General features: G+C 38.8%; 1 protein-coding gene across 5 annotated transcripts in view; it reads left to right on the forward strand.

Moving 5' to 3' along the window:
* Positions 1 to 26,678, forward strand: part of PDE3A (phosphodiesterase 3A) — a 320,047-nt gene that overhangs the window by 279,014 nt on the left and 14,355 nt on the right. For 4 of the 5 annotated variants that reach the window (NM_001378408.1, NM_000921.5, NM_001378407.1 and 1 more), the window contains 3 exons: positions 1,138 to 1,341; positions 2,895 to 3,050; positions 6,397 to 6,655. In NM_001378408.1, the coding sequence (NP_001365337.1) occupies positions 1,138 to 1,341; positions 2,895 to 3,050; positions 6,397 to 6,655 (619 nt within the window). Of the gene's footprint in view, positions 1 to 1,137; positions 1,342 to 2,894; positions 3,051 to 6,396; positions 6,656 to 14,834; positions 16,659 to 26,678 lie in introns of those variants that run through there. The other variant, NM_001378409.1, reaches the window with a different exon arrangement.

Consider the following 26,678-nt stretch of genomic DNA (forward strand, 5'->3'; position numbering starts at 1 on the left):
AATTTAGCCCCTCATTTATTTAATTAGCTGAACCCAAGTTGCTAAACATTCTGAGATCCTCTGTTCTTCTACAAGATCTAGAGGCCAATTTCATTCAATATTGACTTTTCTGTTTTCTTCTTTGCCTCTTCTATCCCATTGCTGTTCATTTCCACAGCTCATCTTATAGGCTATTCTATAGTTTTTCTTGAATCTATATACAATAAAAATTATCTGATAATTTTTTCTTGACTATCTACCTTCTTTCCACTTGTCTTTCATACACCAGAATTATTTTTTCTAAATATAGGCAAAAATCCACTGGCCAGGATAATTTACCATTCAGATTATTTTACACGTCTACATTTTTATATACCTCTATGTTAATATTCTGTGCTTAGTGTTTTCTTTTTGTCCTATGTCTTTTTATTTCTCCATAGGCTATCTTGCACACTAGTGTTCAGGCATTTTGTAGGCAGCTTCCCTTTTTAAAAAAAAATTCTCTAATAAAACTTCTCTCTGCATTATTAGAGAATTTCAAACAAGTAAATGTCATTTTATGTCTCCGAATACTAGATAAAAGGTGATATTTCCTGTGGAGTGGAGTGAGAATGTTTTAAGTCATGGACATTTTGGGTATTCCATTCATCTTTAATAGCTGTATGTGTTTAAGAGGAGATAATGCTTATGCCAGATAGAGAAAGTAACCTAGTTACCTCTTGAGGTATTGTGGCATTGGTATAATTATATATTATATTTATATTTACATATATATGTAAATATAATTTTTTTCTTTTTTCTTTCTCCCTCCTCTTTTCTATTTGTATATAATTTTTATGTTTAAATTCCTGTACCCTACAAAGAAATCTAAAGAAAAAATCTTTTAAAAAATATCTATTAAGATAGGCGAGTGCCCCCTCAAAAGAGTTTGGACTAAGTTTTCAAGGAAAGGAATTTATCTTACAAAAAGTGGAAATTTAACCAAGAAAAATAATAGAGTCATTGTACAGTAATAAGTGATTCTTAATAAGCAGGAGTTACGTGATTACATTTCTTTGTTGTATGAATAAAAAGCAATTTCAAAAGCATTGCATATTCTCATGATTTTTGTGATTATTTTCTTAAAAAGTTGAACTCTTAACTGTCTTATTTGCCTAGGCGGTGCTATATAACGATCGTTCAGTTTTGGAGAATCATCACGCAGCTGCTGCATGGAATCTTTTCATGTCCCGGCCAGAGTATAACTTCTTAATTAACCTTGACCATGTGGAATTTAAGCATTTCCGTTTCCTTGTCATTGAAGCAATTTTGGCCACTGACCTGAAGAAACACTTTGACTTCGTAGCCAAATTTAATGGCAAGGTAAATAGAGCTGTACCCAGTTTTCTTTTCTTTTTCTTTTTTTTTTTTTTTTGAGACAGAGTCTTGCTCTGTCGCCCAGACTGGAGTGCAGTGGCACGATCTTGGCTCACTGCAGCCTCTGCCTCCTGGGTTCAAGTGATTCTCCTGCCTCAACGTCCCGAGTAGCTGGGATTACAGGCTCATGCCACCACGCCTGCCTAATTTTTGTATTTTTTTTTTTTAGTAGAGATGGGGTTTCACCATGTTGGCCAGGCTGCTCTCAAACTCCTGACCTCATGATCCACCCGCCTCGGCCTCCCAAAGTGCTGGGATTACAGGTGTGAGGCACCGTGCCCGGCTGCATCAGTCTTCATTTTATAGACACATTGAAAGATATCATGGAAGCAAACTGTTGAACAAAACATGTTACTATGAACTCCCATATTTCAAATGTGAAAATGGAATACAATAAAATGTTTAACCAGAAGCAGACATATAGGTATTGATCTGAATCTAGATGCCCAAGAAGCTGAGATGCTGTCTCTATAGATTCTACTCTGTGCTACAGAGGAATAACACATTCTGTCATTGTGGTTTTTGTTTGATTTAATTTGTTTTCATCTCTACGGTATATTTGTATAAATTATCTGGCAGCAGTACAGATCAAAAACTTGAAGCAGAATTTTATACCTCAAAAGTAAATGCCCAAATATTAAGTTATGACAATTTTTTATGAACTGTAACTATATTATTTTAATAGTAATTGATAATAAGGCCAAGCACAATGGCTCACGCCTATAATCTCAACACTTTGGGAGGCCGAGGTGGGTGGATCACTTGAGGCCAGGAGTTCGAGACCAGTCTGGCTAATATGGCGAAACACCATCCCTACTAAAAATACAAAAATTGGCCAGGTGTGGTGGCGCACCCCTGTAGTCCTACCTACTTGCGGGGGCTGAGGCAGGAAGATTGCTTGAACCCAGGAGGTGGAGGTTGCACTGAGCCAAGACTGGACCATGACACTCCAGCCTGAGAGAGAGGGCAAGACTCTGTCTCAAAAAAAGAAAAGAGAAGTAATTGATTATATATGCCAATTTAAAAAAGCATTTGTTGCTAATTCAATAATTAATGATTTTTAAAATTTTCATTTTTGTAGGTACATGGTAGGTATATATATTTATGGGTTACATTAATAAATTCATATAATGTATAATAATCACAACAGAGTAAATGGGGTATCTGTCACCTCAAACATTTATCCATTGTGTTACAAACAATCCAGTTATACTCTTTTAGTTATTTTAAAATGTATAATTCAATTATTTTTGACACACTCACCCTGTCACCCATTATTATAATTTTATCCATAATTCGTTATTTTACTTTTTTTGTGAACTATTTTTACCATTAATTTACACAGCCAATAACATTTTTAAGTAGCTAGAGGTTCCCAATTATTTGGTATTATGATCCCTATATAATATGAAGACAATAAATGTTCTATTGTTTTTCTCTTCTATTCAACTTTTGTTTTTATCAAAGCAAAACATATATTAACTTTATCTCTCAAATAGGTAAATGATGATGTTGGAATAGATTGGACCAATGAAAATGATCGTCTACTGGTTTGTCAAATGTGTATAAAGTTGGCTGATATCAATGGTCCAGCTAAATGTAAAGAACTCCATCTTCAGTGGACAGATGGTATTGTCAATGAATTTTATGAACAGGTAACTGACCACTGTTTAATACAGCTTAATCTGTACTTACAGGTTGCTCATGAATTGCTCAAAGCTTCTAACAGCTATGAAAGTATGATCACTCTATTTTATATTCATACTTTTGTCAGAAAATGCACTGGTCAATTTTGATCAGGAGACAAAAAGTGACGTATAAAAATTGGACTAAAATATAATCATAGAACTCTATGATAAAAGTTATTTGCAAGCATTTGGGGGAAGAAGATATTGAGATAGTGGAAGTCAGATGTTAGGAAGATCCTTGAAATACTGTTTTTTTATAGATTTATTTATTATCATAGAAGGTAGTTTAAATGTATATGGAGTAGCTTGTATGTATATGGTAGTTTAAATGTATATGCATATCACATTAATTTCACTTACTTTCCTAAAAAATTTATTTATTATCATAGAAGGTAGTTTAAATGTACATGGAATAGTTTATATGTATATGTATATGGTAGTTCGAATGTATCTGTATATTAGATTAACTTCACTTTTGTAAAAAAATTAATAAGAGCATTATGTGAAAAAGCTAAAAAGAAATAGACATTTCATTTGACATGATAACTAAGAGTTAACAGACTACTCAGAAAGCTACCACAATTACATAAGCTGGGGGTGATCCTCCTGACATTACCCTACACCCATCAGAATGCACTTGAACCTTCCTGTTTGGCACTGTGAACCACTCTTAAAAAGAATGTGGAGGTGAAGGAGCATGCATAAAGGACAGGAATAAGTGACAGAAAAGCATGTGGAAAAAAATGAAGGTATTTACTCTTGGGGAAATATAACTGTCTTCAGATATTTAAAAGAGTGACATACTAATTTAGAAATCGGTTAATCAACATTGCTGTGGAGATTAAAGAAGATAAATTATATAACATACTTAGCACAGGATCTGATTCATAAAAAAAGTTAGATCCCTCTCTACTGCCCTAAAAAAGGTATGAATATACCAGTCTATAGAAGTTATTGGGAGGTAGTGTTCAGGTCAATGTCAGAAAGAAATTTATATTGCTAAAGGTATCCAAAAAATAGGCTGAGACACCATATTAATGGTAATAAATTGACTGTCATTGGACATGTTTAAACAAGAGATTAGAATGAAATTTTATGGTTACTATAGGTAGGATTCATATATAGAATGAAAGATTTTTTTTATTTTATTATACTTTAAGTTTTAGGGTACATGTGCACAACGTGCAGGTTTGTTACATATATATACATGTGCCCTGTTGGTGTGCTGCGCCCATTAACTCATCATTTAGCATTAGATATATCTCCTAATGCTATCCCTCCCTCCTCCCCCCACCCCACAACAGTCCCCAGTGTGTGATGTTCCCCTTCCTCTGTCCATGTGTTCTCATTGTTCAGTTCCCACCTATGAGTGAGAACATGCGGTGTTTGGTTTTTTGTCCTTGCGATAGTTTGCTGAGAATGATGGTTTCCAGTTTCATCCATGTCCCTACAAAGGACATGAACTCATCCTTTTTTATGGCTGCATAGTATTCCATGGTGTATATGTGCCACATTTTCTTAATCCAGTCTATCATTGTTGGACATTTGGGTTGGTTCCAAGTCTTTGCTATTGTGAATAGTGCCTCAATAAACATACATGTGCATGTGTCTTTATAGCAGCATGATTTGTAGTCCTTTGGGTATATACCCAGTAATGGGATGGCTGGGTCAAATGGTATTTCTAGTTCTAGATCCCTGAGGAATAGCCACACTGACTTCCACAGTTGTTGAACTAGTTTACAGTCCCACCAACAGTGTAAAAGTGTTCCTATTTCTCCACATCCTCTCCAGCACCTGTTGTTTCCTGACTTTTTAATGATTGCCATTCTAACTGGTGTGAGATGGTATCTCGTTGTGGTTTTGATTTGCATTTCACTGATGGCCAGTGATGATGAGCATTTTTTCATGTGTCTTTTGGCTGCATAAATGTCTTCTTTTGAGAAGTGTCTGTTCATATCCTTCACCCACTTTTTGATGGGGTTGTTTGTTTTTTTCTTGTAAATTTGTTTGAGTTCATTGTAGATTCTGGATATTAGCCCTTTGTCAGATGAGTAGGTTGCAAAAATTTTCTCCTAAAACCATAAAAACCCTAGAAGAAAACCTAGGCAATACCATTCAGGACATAGGCATGGGCAAGGACTTCATGTCTAAAACACCAAAAGCAATGGCAACAAAAACCAAAATTGACAAATGGGGATCTCATCAAACTAAAGAGCTTCTGCACAGCAAAAGAAACTACCATCAGAGTGAACAGGCAACCTACAGAATGGGAGAAAGTTTTGTGTTTTTAAAACATCATGAAATCATGTATTGCCTTTCCTAAGAATGGGATTAATTCATAAATCTCGAAATATGGAAATGCAGAAAAATGTAAATTAAAGGGAAAATTCATGTATAATAATACCACTTCTTAGGCATAATTGTTGCTGATATTTTGGGATATTTCCTTTATTAATTTTGCTAGATAACTGCTGGTTAAAAATCTCCCTTTTTTCCTCAGAAACATTTGAAGCACTTCAAAATAAAACATTTGTACAGTAATATTATTAAACATATAGATAAATAAGAATATCAGAAACCACACAATCACAGGAGATATATTAAAATTCAAACAAAATCTGGGATAAGGTAACCCCTTGAATTGAGCAATAAATTCTTTAAAGCTTTCTGGAAGCCAAAGCAAAAAAAGGAAAATAGGCTACATTTATATATTTTTAAAAAAATTGTTCTCACTATTGCATTTTTTTTTTTGAGATGGAGTCTCACTCTGTCACCCTGGAATGCAGTGGCACGATCTCAGCTCACCGCAACCTCCGCCTCCTGGGTTCAAGTGATTCTCCTGCCTCAGCCTCCCAAGTAGCTGGGATTACAGGCACCTGCCACTACACCCAGCTAATTTTTTGTATTTTTAATAGAGACGGAGTTTCACCATGTTGGCCAGGCTGGTCTCGATTTGCCCACTTTGGCATCCCAAAGTGCTGGGATTACAGGCGTGAGCCACCACGCCCAGCCTCACCATTGCATTTTCGTGCATTTATATTCTCATATAAAAGACACTGACTTGTGTGATTAAAATATCATCTACTTATACATTAGAATTTAGACTTTCTGTATTTCTCCTTGATAAAAAGCAAAAACCTCAAGTTCAGAAAAGTACTAATTAGCAACAGTGTTTCTATAGGAACCTTAGCACTTGAGGTAGGATCCTTTAGCTGTCAAGTAAAGAAGTTTGTGCATTAATGCCTGGGGTTTTACATATTTACAAATTTCAGATGCCAGGTGAATGTTGACTTCACTTGTATTTTATTTCTAGGGTGATGAAGAGGCCAGCCTTGGATTACCCATAAGCCCCTTCATGGATCGTTCTGCTCCTCAGCTGGCCAACCTTCAGGAATCCTTCATCTCTCACATTGTGGGGCCTCTGTGCAACTCCTATGATTCAGCAGGACTAATGCCTGGAAAATGGGTGGAAGACAGCGATGAGTCAGGAGATACTGATGACCCAGAAGAAGAGGAGGAAGAAGCACCAGCACCAAATGAAGAGGAAACCTGTGAAAATAATGAATCTCCAAGTAAGTTCTAAAACCTAGTTCTAATGTGTTTTCCCTGGGATTGCTTTCTTACTTTAGATGAATTTTATGCTTCTTATGAAATACACAATACTTCAAGTCTAAACATCATTTGCGGAGTTTGACTACGGATAGCTCCCTTCCCCAATATCATAATAATAGAAATCCCAGACTATGGAATCTATAATAATAACACATATGATACAAAGATATCTTCTCCGTCATGAAGTCATGAAGTTAGAAAAAAATAATAATAAGGAGTTGAAGCCTATTCTTCAGGGTATCTGGTTTTTTGTTTGTTTTTTGTTTTTTGAGGCAGAGTCTTGCTCTGTCACCCAGGCTGGCGTGCAGTGGCACGATCTCGGCTCACTGCAAGCTCCGCCTCCCAGGTTCATGCCATTCTCCTGCCTCAGCCTCCTGAGTAGCTGGGACTACAGGTGCGCAACACTACACCCGGCTTTTTTTTTTTTTTTTTTTTTTTTTGTATTTTGAGTAGAGATCGGGTTTCACCATGTTAGCCAGGATGGTCTCGATCTCCTGACCTTGTGATCTGCCTGCCTCGACCTCCCAAAGTGCTGGGATTACAGGCGTGAGCCACCGCGCCCAGCTGCTTCAGGTTATGTTAGCGATTTAAAAGTGAAAGAATTTCAGTTACCATAAAGACCAGTCATAGGTTTTTATTGGCTTGGTTAGGGGAACTCCATGTGAATAGATAGGAGGTAGTATTCATTTGTTCATTCAACAGACATTTATTGAGCATCTGCTCTGTGCCAGGTATCCTTCCAGGTACTAGAGATAGAGTTGTGGGGAAAAAAAGACAAAAAATAAAATAAAATCCTTGCCCTTATAGAAGTACATTCTAGTGGGATCAGTAGACAATAAGCAAAACAAGTGAGTATATCTATAGTATGTTAAATACAGTATTATTTACTGTAGTGATAAATGCTGAGAAATATGAGAGTAAAAATAAAAGGAGGGAGATATGAAATATTATAGAGATAGGTTAAAATTTTAGGTAAGATATCCAGGGATAGGAAAGATGTAAAGCAGGGAAAGATTTGTAAAAAGAAAAAGAAAAGACCTGCAAGAAGCAAGGGAGTGCTCCCTGGGGCTGTATGTGGAAAGAGGATTCCAAAGAGAGGAGAAAGCAACCTGTGCAAAGGTCCGGGGATGTACATTGGGTGGGGTGTTCAGGGAGCAGCAGGAGAACTGGGATAGCTGGAGCAGCAAGACAGAGGCAGCCGGGAACGAACTGTCCAAGGGAGAGAATACAGTCATGGGTTCTTAGTTGCTGTTTCTGGTTGGGCCAGTAAAGCCCCTTCCTCATCCCACTGTTCTGCTTATCACTAGAGACAGAAACTAAAAACCATGGTTTCAGGTGCTAAAAGCCTAAAACAAAACAAAACAGAAGAACAGCAACAACAAATAAGTCAGCCTGGACAAGCTTGGAAGGTGGGACTCTGTAGGTCACGGTAAGTGTTGTGGCTTTTACTCTGAGTAAGATGGGAAATCGTCAGTGGTTTTGAACGGAAGAGTTAGTAGACTCAACTTACATTTTAACTGGACTGCTTCAGCTGCTCTATTGAGAATATGCTTGGGGTTGAGAAGGGAGCAAGGATAGACATAGGGCGGTCAGTTAGGAGACCATTGAAATTATCCAAGTGAGAGATGCCTGTGACTTTGAACCAGGGCAGTAGCAACAGTGACAGTGACAACCTATCACATGTGATAATTGGCTGGAGTGCATCATGTGGCCAATCTAACCTATTTAGCTTAATTGACTATGAAATCATTTTTATTTATGCCTCTAAAGCTACTCTCCTATTTATCCTGTCATGAAACAAATAGTGACTAATAGCATAATTAGTAAAAATCCATGACCCTTGCAATGATATTGCACAAATACTGCTCCTAAGAACATAGTATGTGATTTCTGTCTACCTTTACAGATAAAGTACAATCTTAATATCCTCAAGGTTCTTACCAAAAATACAACCAGTGAAAGACATTCTGATCATTTCGTGCCTATTTTTATCACAGTCAGGATAATGCACAACTTGGTTCATTCCAACCATCTTGTAAGGAGATTAACCTTCTACTGATCCATTTTGCTCTCATATAAGCACCTTGTTGTAGGCACACATAAGCAAACATAAAGAAGTCCTTATCAATTATGAACTTATGAAGTAAAATTTTGCAAATTGAGTTTTAGATCAGATCTGGCCTGTTAATTACTTTTTGTAGAATGGGGGAAAATTAAAGTTGTTTTTCTTCAATATGCTACTGTCAAAGTAATTATATTTCATTTATCTGATGCAAATAAAAAGACTTCCATTAGAAAATTTGTACTAATCTTGAGATTCAGAGCTAGAAGCCAAGACTTGGAATTCATGGGTTATTCATTCATTTTTTTCACTTAATAAACATGTATTAGTTTTCTCTTTTTGTTTGTTTTCATTTCAAAGAGCCAGGTAGTTTGCTGTCTTACTAAGAATAAGACAGTTTTTCCACTGAATGAAGGTATTGTCAGCTTAGCCTCTGGAAAAGCTTTGTTCCCAGGGGCCCTGACTTACTGCTCTTTGAACTCAAACACATGGAAAATACAGACGCACAGATCCAGGCATTGGGAATTGAAGGACCCAGGCCAGGAGACTTAACAGGCTCAACTTGTCAACCTAGCCTTTAGCAGCAAATGCTACAACCACATATTCCATTTCTTTCTGTTCTGTAGGGTTGGGTTGTCATACCTTCCAGTTTTTATCAAGTTCACTAAAGCAGGAATGAGAGACTTTTTGGGTTCTGTTTGCTCATGCCTTCCAAAAGTTAACTGACCACATTATATTACAATTTAAAAATATCCCATCCACAATGATTTGATACTGTAGCTTTGGAAATATTATCTTTAAAGTATTTCTTTACAACCAAGAAAATGATAAATATGGAGCAACATTAGTATTTACCAAATATTGGCCACATAGAGTAACAGAATTTTAGAAATGAAGGGGGAATCAATGCTTATCAGTTAGCTGCCTCACTTTACATATATTAAACTAAGGCTCAGAAATTTAAATGACATTGCAAGGTTGTAGAACCAGAAAGGGAACCTAGGTCTCTTAATTTTTAACTTCAATGCTTTTGGCTCTCAGTAATGTTAATATCAGAATTCATACTGGCTAAAATGGTTACCTTGACTTTGCCTAATACTTAGGTTTCAGAAAAAAATAAATATGCACAGATAACTTCTGTAGTTTGTAAAACTTGGAGATGTCCCAGGAAACAGAATAAAATGTTTCAATATGGTATCCTAGGAAAAGAAGGTTTTTATCCCACCTTATAATTAAATCTGAAAGATTCCTACAGTGAACTAAGAGGTTCCTAATGAAGTACTAAGCTGCATTTAGAATTGGAGCAATGAAAGGCTCTTTGTTCTCCTTTCAAAAGGTTCCAGTACAGAACAATTTGGCTCCCAATACAGGCATGTTTTAGACCACCTGCAGGCTCTAATCTACGCAAATTTATTTGGTACAAACTTTCTTCTACGTCACCTTCTTATTCAGTATAATTCCAGAGAGGTTTATTGCTAACATTTAACAGTATTAATAAGAGAACAGTTGCTCTCATGGGGACTGCCCTGGAAGGAAAAAAGAGGAAAATTGAGCTTTTGTTAGCTTCTTCCCTATGAATGCACTGCCATCAATGTGTATAACTTTAAGATGAAATAATCACCTTAAACTGAAGAGTGTTTGCTACAACTGTGATTCAAACCTGTCCTTCAGACAGGGGTCCTCTGTAACTCTCTTGATTCAAAGGATTAGCTTAAAAAGTATATTAACATTTAAACATTTCTCAACAGAATTTGATTTATAACAAAAACGAAGTAGAAATAGACAAGTAGAGATAGAAGAGTAATTTTTAATTTGCTTTAAAAAATCTGATGTATTAATGTATTTTATTGACTTTCATAGAAAGAATTCAAATTTATTTAAATTTCAATTGTATCTACTGCCCTTGTTAGGAGGCTTTCAAATGGAAGAATTGATATAAGGGGTCTTGGCCTGTGCCCCATACACTTTTGCCTATGTCCCAGTTCTTCAAACTTTGCTTGGAATACTGCTAGCTCCTTTTCACCCAGTGTTATTTAATTCTCATTACTTACATCCAGCCCAGGTACCAGGTCCTTTAAAAAAAAAATTCTACCTAATTTTCCACAGTTTGTGTCATTTGTGTTGCCATGGTTTGATGTATCAAAGAGAAATTGCACCAGACATTTGTTAAAAATGGCAACGAAGGCGTTATTCAAGACTACTGTAATAGGGGAGACAGATTGAACTCTGTTGAAGCAAAAGGTGGGAGAATTGTTCAATGCTGCTGTGAGCTAGTGAAAAAGTGCTGGAGGATGTTATGTGAGCATTGGTTAGTATGATTAAGCCACCTGTTAATTGGTACTTACTAAAGTTAGGCTCCTACCTCCCAACAGAGACTAGGAGATAGGCCTGCCTGCTGGCCTACCTTTCTTCTTTCCTTCCATCCTTCCTTCCTTCATTTAAATCTTTTTTAAATTTTAAAATTTAAATTTTATTTTGTAAGACTGCAAAGCTAATTAGAGGCTGGGAGAAGATTTATCTATATTCCAGAGGGGCAGAGAAAGAATTTGCTATTACAGGTTTTCTAAAGTAAATGTTCTAACAAGAGGGAGGTCAGGGGCCTATAGTCTAGAAGTCTAAAATAGTGTCAAACTGAGAGAAATGGCAAGCCCATCTTGGTCACAAGAATATGTCTGTCATAAAACATAGCACATGTATTTCAGTTTTTGTCTTCTTGGCACTCTCTCTTACAGAGAGACTGTAAACTCCTTTAAGGCAAGATCTGAGCTTAATTGATCTGTGTTTCCAAAGTATCCTGGAAAGTATTTGCCAGTTAGTTTGAGTCCATCTCATGAAGAAATTATGAATATCATAATTTTTTTTTCCTTTTGACTCTGCCTGTGTTCATTTCCCTCAGCACTCATTCAATTTAATAATTGTCATTCTGTGTCTATATGGTTCAAAATTAATTCAAGATAATTTAATGTCCTTTTTATTCACTGTGTTTTAAAAATTAATTTTATTCTGTACAGTACAAGAAATTTCTGCAGTATATCAAAATAAAACTGTTAAAAGAATGACTAGCCCTTCCACAAAGATGTTGGCAGATGACCTCCAAGTTTCTTTGTCACCCCCATAGAAATTGGCTTTTTTTCTTTCATTATTGTGCTATTATTAAGACTTTTCTTTTTTTTCTTGCTCCCAGAGTAAGTCATATCTACTTCATTAAATAGACCCAAATATCCCTTTTGATCTTCCTGCTAACTTGTACTGTTTTTTTTAATTGTTTATTTACTTTTGTAGAGACAGCAGTCTCACTTTATTTATTTCTGTAGAAACAGGACCTCACTATGTTTCCCAGGCTGGTTTGGAACCCCTGACGTCAAGTGATCCTCTTGCTTCAGCCTCCCAAGTAGCTAAGATTACAGGCAGCATGAGCCACCATAGCCAGCATGAACTATTAACTCTTTAATGCAGTCTCAATTAGATCAGCATCTCCTGTAGACCACTTTTTCGTATTAGTTTTATTTTTACCACTTATCAATACTTCATCATTTACCTGGAAATGTGGAACAAAAACTAGAGAGAAAATTATTCATTTAGTAAACTTTTACTGAATGCTTTAGTAAAGTCTAGGTCTTCACAGATATTACATATACACAAAAGTAAAGAGAAAAGTCCATATACCAGGTGATATGGTTTGGCTGTGTTCCCACCCAACCCTCATCTTGAATTGTAGTTCCCATAATCCCCATGTGTCGTGGGAGGGACCTGGTGGGAGGTAATCGAATCATAAGGGGAGTTACCCCCATGCTACTGTTCTCATGACAGTGAGTGACTTGTCACAAGATTTGCTGGTTTTATAAGAGGCTTTTCCCCCTTTCCTTGGCACTTCTCTCTTTGTATGACCATGTGAAGAAGGATGTTTGCTTCCCCTTCCACCATGATTATAATTTCCTGAGGCCTCCATAGCCCTGTCAGTCAATTAAATCTCTTTTCTTTGTAAATTACTCAGTCTTGGGAGTTCTTTATAGCAGTGTGAAAATGGACTAATACAGTAAGTTGGTACCAGAAGTGGGGTGCTGATATAAAGATACCCAAAATTGTGGAAGCAACTTTGGAACACAGTAACAGGCAGAGATTGGAACAGTTTGGAGGGCTCAGAAGAAGACAGGAAAATGACAGAAAGTTTGGAACTTCCTGGAGATTGGAGGGTCATATGGTTTGGCTGTGTCTCCACCCAAATCTAATCTTAAATTCCCATGTGTTGTGGAGGGACCCGGTGGGAGATAATTGTATCATCATGGCAAGTCTTTTCTATGCTGTTCTCGTGATAGTGAATAAGTCTCACAAGATCTAATGGTTTTAAAAAGAGGAGTTCCTTTGCACAAGTTCTCTTTTTGGCTGCTGCCATCCATGTAAGATGTGAGTTGCTTCTCCTTGCCTTCCTGTATGATTGTGAGGCTTCCTGAGCAACATGGAACTGTGAGTGAGTGCTCAATTAAACCTCTTTCCTTTGTAAATTGCCCAGTCTCAGGTATGTCTTTGTCAGCTGCATGGAAATGGACGAATACAGTAAATTGGTACTGGTAGAGTTGGGTGCTGCTGAAAAGACAACCAAGAATGTGGAAACGACTTTGGAACTGGGTAACAGGAAGAGGTTGGAACAGTTTGGAGGGCTCAGAAGAAAAAAGAAAATGTGAGAAAGTTAGTTTGGAATTTTCTAGAGACTTGTTGAATGGCTTTGACAAAAAATGCTGATAGTGATATGAACAATGAAGTCCAGGCTGAGGTGGTCTCAGATGGAGATGAGGAACTTGTCGAGAACTGGAGCAAATGTGACTCTTGTTCTGTTTTAGCAAAGAGACTGGCAGCATTATCCCCCTGCCCTAGAGATTTGTGGAACTTTGAACTTCAGAGAGATGATTTACGGTATCTGGTGGGAGAAATTTCTAAGCAGCAAAGCATTCAAAGGCAACTTGGGTGCTCTTAAAGGCATTCCATTTTATAAGGGAAGCAGAACATAAAAATTCAGAAAATTTGCAGTCTGGCAATGCAATAGAAAAGAAAATCCCATTTTGTGAGGATAAATCCAAGCGAGCTGCAGAAATTTGCATAAGTAATGAGGAGCCAACTGTTAATCCCCAAGACAATGGGGAAAATGTCTCCAGTATATGTCAGAGGTCTTCATGGCAGCCCCTCCCATCACAGGCCTAGGGGCCTAGGAGGAAAAAGTGGTTTAATGGGCTGGGTTCAGGGTCCCTGAGCAGTGTGCAGCCTAGGGACTTGGTTCCCTGCATCCCAACCACTCCAGTTGTCACTGAAAGAGGCCAAGGTACAGCTTGGGCTGTTGCTTGAGAGGGTGGACGCCTCAAGCCTTGGCACCTTCCATGTGGTGTTGAGCCTGTGAGTAAACAGAAGTAAAGAACTGAGGTTTGGGAACCTCTGCCTATATTTCAGAGGGTGTACGGAAATGCTTGGATGATCAGGCAGAAGTTTGCTGCAGGGGTGGGGCAGTCATGCAGAACCTCTGCTAGGGCAGTGTGGAAGGGAAATGTAGGGTCAGAGCTACCACACAGAGTTACTACTGGGGCAGTGCCTAATGGAACTGTGAGAAGAGAGCCACTGTCCTCCAGACCCCAGAATGGTAGATCCACCAACAGCTGGCACCATGTGCCTGGAAAAGCCACAGACACTCAATGCCAGCCCATGAAAGCATCCATGAGGGAGGCTGTACCCTGTAAAGCCACAGGGGCAGAGCTGCCCAACACTATAGGATGCCCCTCTTTGCCTTCCACCATGCTTGTCAGGTCTCTCCAGCCATGTGAAACTGTAAGTCCAATAAACTTCTTTCTTTTGTAAATTGCCCGGTCTTGGGTATGTCTTTATCAGTAGCATGAAAACGGACTAATATGGAGGACTCAGAAGACAGGAAAATATAGGAAAGTTTGGAACTTCTAGAGACTTGTTGAATGGCACTGACCAAAATGCTGATAGTGATATGGACAATAAACTCCAGGCTGAGGTGGTCTCAGATAAAGATGAGGAACTTGTTGAGAACTGGAGTAAAAGTCACTCTTGTTTTGCTTACCCTGCAGAGCCACAGGGGCAAAGCTGCCCAAGAACACCTCCTGCATCATTTTGACCTGGATGTGAGACATGGAGTCAAAGGAGATCAGTTTTGAACTTTAAGGTTTAATGACTGCCCTATTGAATTTTAGACTTGCATGGGGCCTGTAGCGCCTTTGTTTCAGCAAGGAAACTGGTGGCATTTTGCTCTAGCCCTAGAGATCTGTGAAACTTTGAACTTGAGGGAGATGATTTAGGGTATCTGGCCGAAGAAATCTCTAAGCAGCAAAGCACTCAAGAGGTGACTTTGGTGCTATTAAAATCTCTCAGTTTTATGTATTCAGAAAGACATGGTTTGGAATTGGAACTTATCTTTAAGAGGGAAGCTGAGCATAAAAATTCAGAAAATTTGCAACCTGAGGATGTGATAGAAAAGAAAAACCCATTTTTTGAGGAGAAACTCAAGTGGGCTGCAGAAAATTTGCATAAGTAACAAGGAGCCAAATGTTAATCACCAAGACAATGGAGAAAATGTCTCCAGGGCATGTCAGAGACCTTAGTGGCAGTCCCTCCTATCATAGACCCAGAGGCCTAGGCAGAAAAAACGATTTCACAGGCCAGGCCCCAGACCCTCTGCTGTGTGCAGCCTAGGGACTTGGTGCCGTGAGTCCCAGCTGTTTCAGCCATGGCAGAAAGGGGCCAATGTACAGCTCAGGTTGTGGCTTCAGAGGGTGCAAGCCCGAAGCCTTGGCAACTTCCATATCATGTTAGGTCTGTGGTGTGCAGAAGACAGAAATTGAGGTCTGGGAACCTCCACCTAGATTAAAGAGGATGTATGGCAATGCCTGGATGTCCTGGCAGAAGTTTGCTACAGGGGTGGAGCCCTCATGGAGAACCTCTGCTAGGGCAGTATGGAAGGGAAATGTGGGGTTGGCGCCACCACACAGAGTTCCTACTGGTGCACTGCACAGTGGAGCTGTAAGAAGAGGGCCATTGTCCTCCAGACCCCGGAATGGTAGATCCACCAACAGCTTGCACTGTGCACCTGGAAAAGCCACAGGCAGTCAATGCCAGCCTGTGAAAGCAGCTGGAGGGGAGGTGCTGTACCCTGCAAAGCCACAGGGGCAAAGCTGCCCAAGGCTGTGGGAGCACACCTCTTGCATCATTTTGACCTGGATATGAGACATGGAGTCAAAGGAGATCATTTTTTAACTTTAAGGTATAACAACTGCCCTTTTGAATTTTAGACTTGCATGGGACGTGTAGCCCCTTTGTTTTGGCAGATTTCTCCCATTTGGAATGATTGTATTTACCCAGTGCCTGTACCATCATTGTATCTGGGAAGTAACTAACTTGCTTTTGATTTTGCAGGTTTATAGGCAGAAAGGACTTGCCTTGTCTCAGATGAGACCTTGGACTTGGACTTTTGGGTTAATGCTGGAATGAGTTAAGACATTGGGGGACTTTTGGAAAGGCAAGATTGTGTTTTGAAATGTGAGGATATTAGTTTTGGGAGAGGTGAGGGGCAGAATAATATGATTTGGCTATGTCACCACCCAAATCTCATCTTGAATTGTAGTTTACATAATCTCCATGTGTTGCGGGAGGGACCCAGTGGGAGGTAATTGAATCATGGGGGTGGTTATTGTCATGCTGCTGTTCTTGTTATAATGAGTTCTTATGAGATCTAATGGTTTTGTAAGGGACTTTTCCCCCTTTGCTTGGCACTTCTCTCTTCCTGCCACCATGTGAATTAAGGACATGTTTGCTTCCCCTTCCACCATGATTATGTTTCCTGAGGCCTCCCCAGCCCTGTGGAACTGTGAGTCAATTAAACCTCTTTCCTTTATAAATTACCCAGTCTTGAGCAGTTTTTTATAGCAGCATGAGAATGGACTAATACACCAGGGAAATTCACAATCTAATGGGAGGATCTTAGCTGAACTTCTGAACTCTTGGCTCAAGTCTAAAATCGTCACTTAGATGAGGGTACTGAGAGTTAAATGATATTCTGGTTGCTTGGAAAAGAACAGACCTCTCTTCTAAGCTGTCTACCAGCTGCCTACTTTACCTCTCTACTCAGAGGTCTTCCAGACACTTCATGTTCAGAATACCTCTATTCATTTTCTGCTGATATGGTTTTGCTGTGTCCCCACCCAAATCTCATTTTGAATTGTAGCTCCAATAATTCTCATGTGTTGTGGAAAGGACCCAATGGGAGACACTTGAATCATGAGGGCAGTTTCCCCCATATTGTTCTCCTGGTACTGAATAAGTCATGGATCTGATGATTTTATAAGGGGTTTCCTCTTTTGCTTGACTCTCTCATTCTCTTTTTGCCTGACACCATGTAAGACATGCCTTTTGCCTTCTGCCATGTTTGTGAGACCTCCCCAGCCATGTGGAACTCTTGAGTCCATTAAACCTCTTTTTTCTTTGTAAATTATCCAGTCTCAGGTATGTCTTTATCAGCAGTGTGAAATTGACTAACACACCCTCAAATATACTCCTCATCCAACCTTCCCTTTCTCAGTACATCTTACCAACATACTCAACTGCTCAGGCCAGAAAACAGGGTTGTCTCTGATTCCTCCCTCTTAATTCCCTACCTCTAATCAGTTGCCAAGTCCTGTTGATTCTCCCATACAAATATATCTCATATTTATTGACTTTTCTTCATTTTCATTACCCCTGTCCTAATCCAGTCACCACCTCCATACAATATTGTACCAACTGGGCCATCTCCCTCCCTTTCTGCTGACTTTCAAAGACTCCATAAGACTCAGTATAAATGTACCTGCTTGTTCACTATTTTCCTACTAGAGTAAAAGCCTGCTGCTGGCAAGCATCATATTTATCTTGTCTGTCAGAGGGTCACTAGAACTGAGGACAACATTTTGGTACATATCAGGTGATTCATAAATAGATAAGGAATTTAGAAACCTCAATAGTGAATGCTGACATTAAATAGTCTTCTTTGAAATATATTTTTTTCTGTTTAAATTGGGTTTATTATTTTTCCTCAATTAAAGGATGTAATTCTGTGAAAATTTTTCTTAATATTTGCATGTTGAAAACTTTGAATCATTTGGTCAAAGAAAATGTAATGTATTTCTTTTTTAAATGCATACGTGCTGATGTATAAGATCTGTACAGGTTTGTCCAAGGCTCCCTCACAGACCCTATGGTCTAGAAGAGAAACTATTTGGAATATATGAAAATAAGATTTGAGTTTATTTTTTTTAAGTAGGGTACTCATTTATTCAGATTAATAGACAGAAGCAAATAATTTTCCAAAGTAGATGTAAAAAATGTACATTCCTATAAGCAATATATTAGTTCTAATTGTTAAATTCTTCGTCTACACTTGATTTTTTATAGTCATTTTCATTTTAGCTATTCCAAGTAGGCATAGAGTGCTCTTATGTTATAGTTTTCATTTGCATTTCCCTGTCTTATGTAATATGCAACTTTTTGTATTTTTAATCAATATATATTTGTACATATTTATGTGGGGCACATGATATTTTGCTACATTCATCAAATGTGTAATGATTAAATCAGGATATTTAGAATATCTGTCACCTCGAGTATTTGTCATTTCTTTTTTTTTTTTTTTTTTTTTTGAGACCGAGTCTCAGTCTGTCACCCAGTCTGGAGGGCAGTGGCACATTCTCAGCTCACTGCAAGCTCACTCCGTCTCCTGGGTTGAAGTGATTCTCCTGCCTCAGCCCCCCAAGTAGCTAGGACAGGCATATGCCACCATGCCCGGCTAATTTTTGTATTTTTAGTAGAGATGGGGTTTCACCATGTTGGCCAGGCTGGTCTTAAACTCCTGACCTCAAGTGGTCCATCCGCCTCGGCCTCCCAAAGTGCTGGGATTACAGGCATGAGCCACTGCACCCGGCCATATTTATCATTTCTATGTGTTGGGAAGTCCCCTCTTCCCACTATTTTAAAGTATGCAATACATTATTTTTAACAATAATCACCTTACTCTGCTATCGAAGAACTTATTTATTCTAACTAGTATGTTTGTGCTCATTAATCAATATCTCTTCATTCCTCCTAACCCCCAACCATACACCCTTCTCAGCTTCTGATGTCTGTCATTCTACCCTCACTTCCATGAGATCAACTTTTCTAGCTCCCACATAAGAGTGAGAGCATGAGATATTTGTCTTTATTGCTAGACTTATTTCATTTAACATAATGATCTCCAGTTCCATTAATGATGCTGCAAATGTCATAATTTTATTCTTTTTATGTCTGAATATTATTCCATTGTGTATGTATACCACATTTTCTTTATCCATTCATCAGTTGATGGACACTTAGGTTGATTCCATATCTTTGCTATTGTGAAGACTGCTGCAATAAATATGGGGGTGCAATTATCTTTTTAATATACTAATTTCTTTTCCTTTGATAAATACCCAGTAGTGGGATTGCTAGATCATATGGTAGTTCTCTTTTGAGATTTTGAGAAATCTGCATACTGTTTTCCATAGTGGCTATACCAACTTATATACCTACAAACAGTGTTATGAGTTCCCTTTTCTCCACATCCTTGCCAGCATCTGTTGTTTTTCTGTTTTTAGTAATAGCCATTCTAACTGGGGTAAGATGATATCTCATTGTGGCTTTGATTTGCATATTCCTGGTGATTAGTGATATTGAGCATTTTTTCATATACCTGTTGGCCATTTGTATGTTTTCTTTTCAGAAATGTCTATTCATGTCCTTGCCCACTTTTTAATAGAATTTTTTTGTTTTTGTTTTTTAACTGTTGCTTGATTTTCTTGTATATTCTGGATATTAGTTCCTTGTTGTATGAACAATTTGCATATATTTTCTTCCATTCTATAGATTTTCTCTTCACTATGTTGATTCATTTGCTATACAGAAGGTTTTCGTTTTTAGTTTAGTCCCATTTGTCTGTATTTGTTTTTGTTGCCTGGGTTTTTGAGGTCTTAATCATAATAATCTTTGCTTAGGTCAATGTCCTATAGAACTTCCCTTATGTTGTCTTCTAACAGTTTTATAGTTTTTGGTCTTACTTAAGTCTTTAATCTATCTTGAGTTGATTTTTGTATATAGTGAGAAATGGAGTCTAGTTTCATTCTTCTGCATGTGAATATCCAATTTTCCCAGCACCACTTATTAAAAAAGATGTCCTTTCTTCAATATATGTTCTTGGCACCTTTGTCATAAATCAGTTGGCTATAAATACATGCATTTATTTCTGGAGTCTATGTTTTATTGGTCTATATGTCCATTTATATACTAACACCATGCTGTTTTGTTTACTATACCCTTGAAGCATATTTTGAAGTCAGGTAGTGTGGTGCCTCCATCTTTGTTCTTTTCGTTCAGGATTGCTTTGGCTACTCAAGCTCTTTTTTGGTTCCATAGAGATTTTGGAATTGTTTTTCCTGTTTTTCTGAATAATGTATTGGTATTTTAAAAATAAAGATTGCGGGGGAGGAGCCAAGATGGCCGAACAGGAACAGCTCCGGTCTACAGCTCCCAGCGTGGTGGATGCAGAAGATGGTGATTTCTGCATTTCCATCTGAGGTACCGGGTTCATCTCTCTAGGGAGTGCGAGACAGTGGGCGCAGGTCAGTGGGTGCGCGCACCGTGCGCGAGCCAAAGCAGGGCGAGGCATTGCCTCACTTGGGAAACGCAAGGGGTCAGGGAGTTCCCTTTCCCAGTCAAAGAAAGGGGTGACAGATGGCACCTGGAAAATCAGGTCACTCCCACCTGAATACTGCGCTTTTCCGACGGGCTTAAAAAACGGCGCACCATGAGATTATATCCCGCACCTGGCTTGGAGGGTCCTACGCCCACAGAGTCTCGCTGATTGCTAGCACAGCAGTCTGAGATCAAACTGCAAGGCGGCAGTGAGGCTGGGGGAGGGGCGCCCGCCATTGCCCAGGCTTGATTAGGTAAACAAAGCAGCCAGGAAGCTCGAACTGGGTGGAGCCCACCACAGCTCAAGGAGGCCTGCCTGCCTCTGTAGGCTCCACCTCTGGGGGCAGGGCACAGACAAACAAAAAGACAGCAGTAACCTCTGCAGACTTAAATGTCCCTGTCTGACAGCTTTGAAGAGAGCAGTGGTTCTCCCAGCATGCAGCTGGAGATCTGAGAACAGGCAGACTGCCTCCTCAAGTGGGTCCCTGACCCCTGACCCCTGAGCAGCCTAACTGGGAGGCACCCCCCAGTAGAGGAACACTGACACCTCACATGGCAGGGTACTCCAACAGACCTGCAGCTGAGGGTCCTGTCTGTTAGAAGGAAAACTAACAAACAGAAAGGACATCCACACCAAAAACCCATCTGTACATCACCATCATCAAAGACCAAAAGTAGATAAAACCACAAAGATGGGGAAAAAACAGAACAGAAAAACTGGAAACTCTAAAAAGCAGAGCACCAATCCTCCTCCAAAGGAACGCAGTTCCTCACCAGCAACGGAACAAAGCTAGATGGAGAATGACTTTGACGAGCTGAGAGAAGAAGGCTTCAGACGATCAAATTACTCCGAGCTACGGGAGGACATTCAAACCAAAGGCAAAGAAGTTGAAAACTTTGAAAAAAATTTAGAAGAATGTATAACTAGAATAACCAATACAGAGAAGTGCTTAAAGGAGCTGATGGAGCTGAAAACCAAGGCTCGAGAACTACGTGAAGAATGCAGAAGCCTCAGGAGCCGATGTGATCAACTGGAAGAAACGGTATCAGCGATGGAAGATGAAATGAATGAAATGAAGCGAGAAGGGAAGTGTAGAGAAAAAAGAATAAAAAGAAACGAGCAAAGCCTCCAAGAAATATGGGACTATGTGAAAAGACCAAATCTACGTCTGATTGGTGTACCTGAAAGTGATGGGGAGAATGGAACCAAGTTGGAAAACATGCTGCAGGATATTATCCAGGAGAACTTCCCCAATCTAGCAAGGCAGGCCAACGTTCAGATTCAGGAAATACAGAGAACACCACAAAGATACTCCTCAAGAAGAGCAACTCCAAGACACATAATTGTCAGATTCACCAAAGTTGAAATGAAGGAAAAAATGTTAAGGGCAGCCAGAGAGAAAGGTCGGGTTACCCTCAAAGGGAAGCCCATCAGACTAACAGCAGATCTCTCGGCAGAAACCCTACAAGCCAGAAGAGAGTGGGGGCCAATATTCAACATTCTTAAAGAAAAGAATTTCCAACCCAGAATTTCATATCCAGCCAAACTAAGCTTCATAAGCGAAGGAGAAATAAAATACTTTACAGACAAGCAAATGCTGAGAGATTTTGTCACCACCAGGCCTGCCCTAAAAGAGCTCCTGAAGGAAGCACTAAACATGGAAAGGAACAACCAGTACCAGCTGCTGCAAAATCATGCCAAGATGTAAAGACCATCGAGACTAGGAAGAAACTACATAAACTAACGAGCAAAATAACCAGCTAACATCATAATGACAGGATCAAATTCACACATAACAATATTAACTTTAAATGTAAATGGACTAAATGCTCCAATTAAAAGACACAGACTGGCAAATTGGATAAAGAGTCAAGACCAATCAGTGTGCTGTATTCAGGAAACCCATCTCACGTGCAGACACACATAGGCTCAAAATAAAAGGATGGAGGCAGATCTACCAAGCAAATGGAAAACAAAAAAAGGCAGGGATTGCAATCCTAGTCTCTGATAAAACAGACTTTAAACCAACAAAGATCAAAAGAGACAAAGAAGGCCATTACATAATGGTAAAGGGATCAATTCAACAAGAAGAGCTAACTATCCTAAATATATATGCACCCAATAAAGGAGCACCAAGATTCATAAAGCAAGTCCTGAGTGACCTACAAAGAGACTTAGACTCCCACACATTAATAATGGGAGACTTTAACACCCCACTGTCAACATTAGACAGATCAACGAGACAGAAAGTCAACAAGGATACCCAGGAATTGAACTCAGCTCTGCACCAAGCGGACCTAATAGACATCTACAGAACTCTCCACCCCAAATCAATAGAATATACATTTTTTTCAGCACCACACCACACCTATTCCAAAATTGACCACATAATTGGAAGTAAAGCTCTCCTCAGCAAATGTAAAAGGACAGAAATTATAACAAACTATCTCTCAGACCACAGTGCAATCCAGCTAGAACTCAGGATTAAGAATCTCACTCAAAACTGCTCAACTGCATGGAAACTGAACAACCTGCTCCTGAATGACTACTGGGTACATAACGAAATGAAGGCAGAAATAAAGATGTTCTTTGAAACCAAGGAGAACAAAGACACAACATACCAGAATCTCTGGGACGCATTCAAAGCAGTGTGTAGAGGGAAATTTATAGCACTAAATGCCCACAAGAGAAAGCAGGAAAGATCCAAAATTGACACCCTAACATCACAATTAAAAGAACTAGAAAAGCAAGAGCAAACACATTCAAAAGCTAGCAGAAGGCAAGAAATAACTAAGATCAGAGCAGAACTGAAGGAAATAGAGACACAAAAAACCCTTCAAAAAATTAATGAATCCAGGAGCTGGTTTTTTGAAAGGATCAACAAAATTGATAGACCACTAGCAAGACTAATAAAGAAAAAAAGAGAGAAGAATCAAATAGACGCAATAAAATATGATAAAGGGGATATCACCACCGATCCCACAGAAATACGCACTACCATCAGAGAATACTACAAACACCTCTACGCAAATAAACTAGAAAATCTAGAAGAAATGGATAAATTCCTCGACACATACACTCTCCCAAGACTAAACCAGGAAGAAGTTGAATCTCTGAATAGACCAATAACAGGATCTGAAATTGTGGCAATAATCAATAGTTTACCAACAAAAAAGAGTCCAGGACCAGATGGATTCACAGCTGAATTCTACCAGAGGTACAAGGAGGAACTGGTACCATTCCTTCTGAAACTATTCCAATCAATAGAAAAACAGGGAATCCTCCCTAACTCATTTTATGAGGCTAGCATCATCCTGATACCGAAGCCAGGCAGAGACACAACAAAAAAAGATAATTTTAGACCAATATCCTTGATGAACATTGATGCAAAAATCCTCAATAAAATACTGGCAAACTGAATCCAGCAGCACATCAAAAAGCTTATCCACAATGATCAAGTGGGCTTCATCCCTGGGATGCAAGGCTGGTTCAATATACGCAAATCAATAAATGTAATCCAGCATATAAACAGAGCCAAAGACAAAAACCAAATGATTATCTCAATAGATGCAGAAAAAGCCTTTGACAAAATTCAACAACCCTTCATGCTAAAAACTCTCAATAAATTAGGTATTGATGGGACATATTTCAAAATAATAAGAGCTATCTATGACAAACCCACAGCCAATATCATACTGAATGGGCAAAAACTGGAAGCATTCCCTTTGAAAACTGGCACAAGACAGGGATGCCCTCTCTCACCACTCCTATTCAACATAGTGTTGGAAGTTCTGGCCAAGGCAATTAGGCAGGAGAAGGAAATAAAGGGTATTCAATTAGGAAAAGAGGAAGTCAAATTGTCCCTGTTTGCAGATGACATGATTGTATATCTAGAAAACCCCATTGTCTCAGCCCAAAATCTCCTTAAGCTGATAAGCAACTTCAGCAAAGTCTCAGGATACAAAATCAATGTACAAAAATCACAAGCATTCTTATACACCAACAGACAAATAGAGAGCCAAATCATGAGTGAACTCCCATTCACAATTGCTTCAAAGAGAATAAAATACCTAGGAATCCAACTTACAAGGGATGTGAAGGACCTCTTCAAGGAGAACTACAAACCACTGCTCAAGGAAATAAAAGAGGATAAAAACAAATGGAAGAACATTCCATGCTCATGGGTAGGAAGAATCAATATCGTGAAAATGGCCATACTGCCCAAGGTAATTTACAGATTCAATGCCATCCCCATCAAGCTACCAATGCCTTTCTTCACAGAATTGGAAAAAACTACTTTAAAGTTCATATGGAACCAAAAAAGAGCCCGCATCGCCAAGTCAATCCTAAGCCAAAAGAACAAAGGCTGGAGGCATCACACTACCTGACTTCAAACTATACTACAAGGCTAGAGTAACCAAAACAGCATGGTACTGGTACCAAAACAGAGATATACAAGAATGGAACAGAACAGAGCCCTCAGAAATAACGCTGCATATCTACAACTATCTGATCTTTGACAAACCTGAGAAAAACAAGCAATGGGGAAAGGATTCCCTATTTAATAAATGGTGCTGGGAAAACTGGCTAGCCATATGTAGAAAGCTGAAACTGGATCCCTTCCTTACACCTTATACAAAAATCAATTCAAGATGGATTAAAGACTTAAACGTTAGACCTAAAACCATAAAAACCCTAGAAGAAAACCTAGGCATTACCATTCAGGACATAGGCATGGGCAAGGACTTCATGTCTAAAACACCAAAAGCAATGGCAACAAAAGACAAAATTGACAAATGGGATCTAATTAAACTAAAGAGCTTCTGCACAGCAAAAGAAACTACCATCAGAGTGAACAGGCAACCTACAAAATGGGAGAAAATTTTCACAACCTACTCATCTGACAAAGGGCTAATATCCAGAATCTACAATGAACTCATACAAATTTACAAGAAAAAAACAAACAACCCCATCAAAAAGTGGGCGAAGGACATGAACAGACACTTTTCAAAAGAAGACATTTATGCAGCCAAAAAACACATGAAAAAATGCTCATCATCACTGGCCATCAGAGAAATGCAAATCAAAACCACAATGAGACACCATCTCACACCATTTAGAATGGCAATCATTAAAAAGTCAGGAAACCACAGGTACTGGAAAGGATGTGGAGAAATAGGAACACTTTTACACTGTTGGTGGGACTGTAAACTAGTTCAACCATTGTGGAAGTCAGTGTGGCGATTCCTCAGGGATCTAGAACTGGAAATACCATTTGACCCAGCCATCCCATTACTGGGTATATACCCAAAGGACTATAAATCATGCTGCTATAAAGACACATGCACACGTATGTTTATTGCGGCATTATTCACAATAGCAAAGACTTGGAACCAACCCAAATGTCCAACAATGATAGACTGGATTAAGAAAATGTGGCACATATACACCATGGAATACTATGCAGCCATAAAAAATGATGAGTTCATGTCCTTTGTAGGGACATGGATGAAATTGGAAAACATCATTCTCAGTAAACTATTGCAAGAACAAAAAACCAAAGACCGCATATTCTCACTCATAGGTGGGAATTGAACAATGAGAACACATGGACACAGGAAGGGGAATATCACACTGGGGACTGTTGTGGGGTGGGGGGAGGGGGGAGGGATAGCATTGGGAGATATACCTAATGCTAGATGACGAGTTAGTGGGTGCAGTGCACCAGCATGGCACATGTATACATATGTAACTAACCTGCACAATGTGCACATGTACCCTAAAACTTAAAGTATAATAAAAATAAAAATAAAAAAAATAAAAATAAAAATAAAGATTGCACTGAATCCATACATTGCTTGGGTAGAATGGTCATTTTAACAATATTAATACTTCAGATCCATGATCATGGGATGTCTTTGCATTCGTGTGTGTTGTCTTCAACGTGTTTCATCAGATTTTTGTAGTTTTCCATGTAGAGGTCTTTATCCATCTTGGTTAAATTTATTTCTAATTTTTTATAGCTATTGTAAAAGGGATTGCCTTCTTAATTTCTTTGTCAGCTAGTTCATCATTGGTATATAGAAATACTACTGATTTTTTTGTATATTGATTTTTGTATCCTGCAACTTTACTCAATTTATTTATCAGATCTAAGAGTTTTTTGATGGAGTCTATG

The sequence above is a fragment of the Homo sapiens genome, chromosome 12 (assembly GCF_000001405.40).
Source record: "Homo sapiens chromosome 12, GRCh38.p14 Primary Assembly".
Classification (NCBI taxonomy): domain Eukaryota; kingdom Metazoa; phylum Chordata; class Mammalia; order Primates; family Hominidae; genus Homo; species Homo sapiens.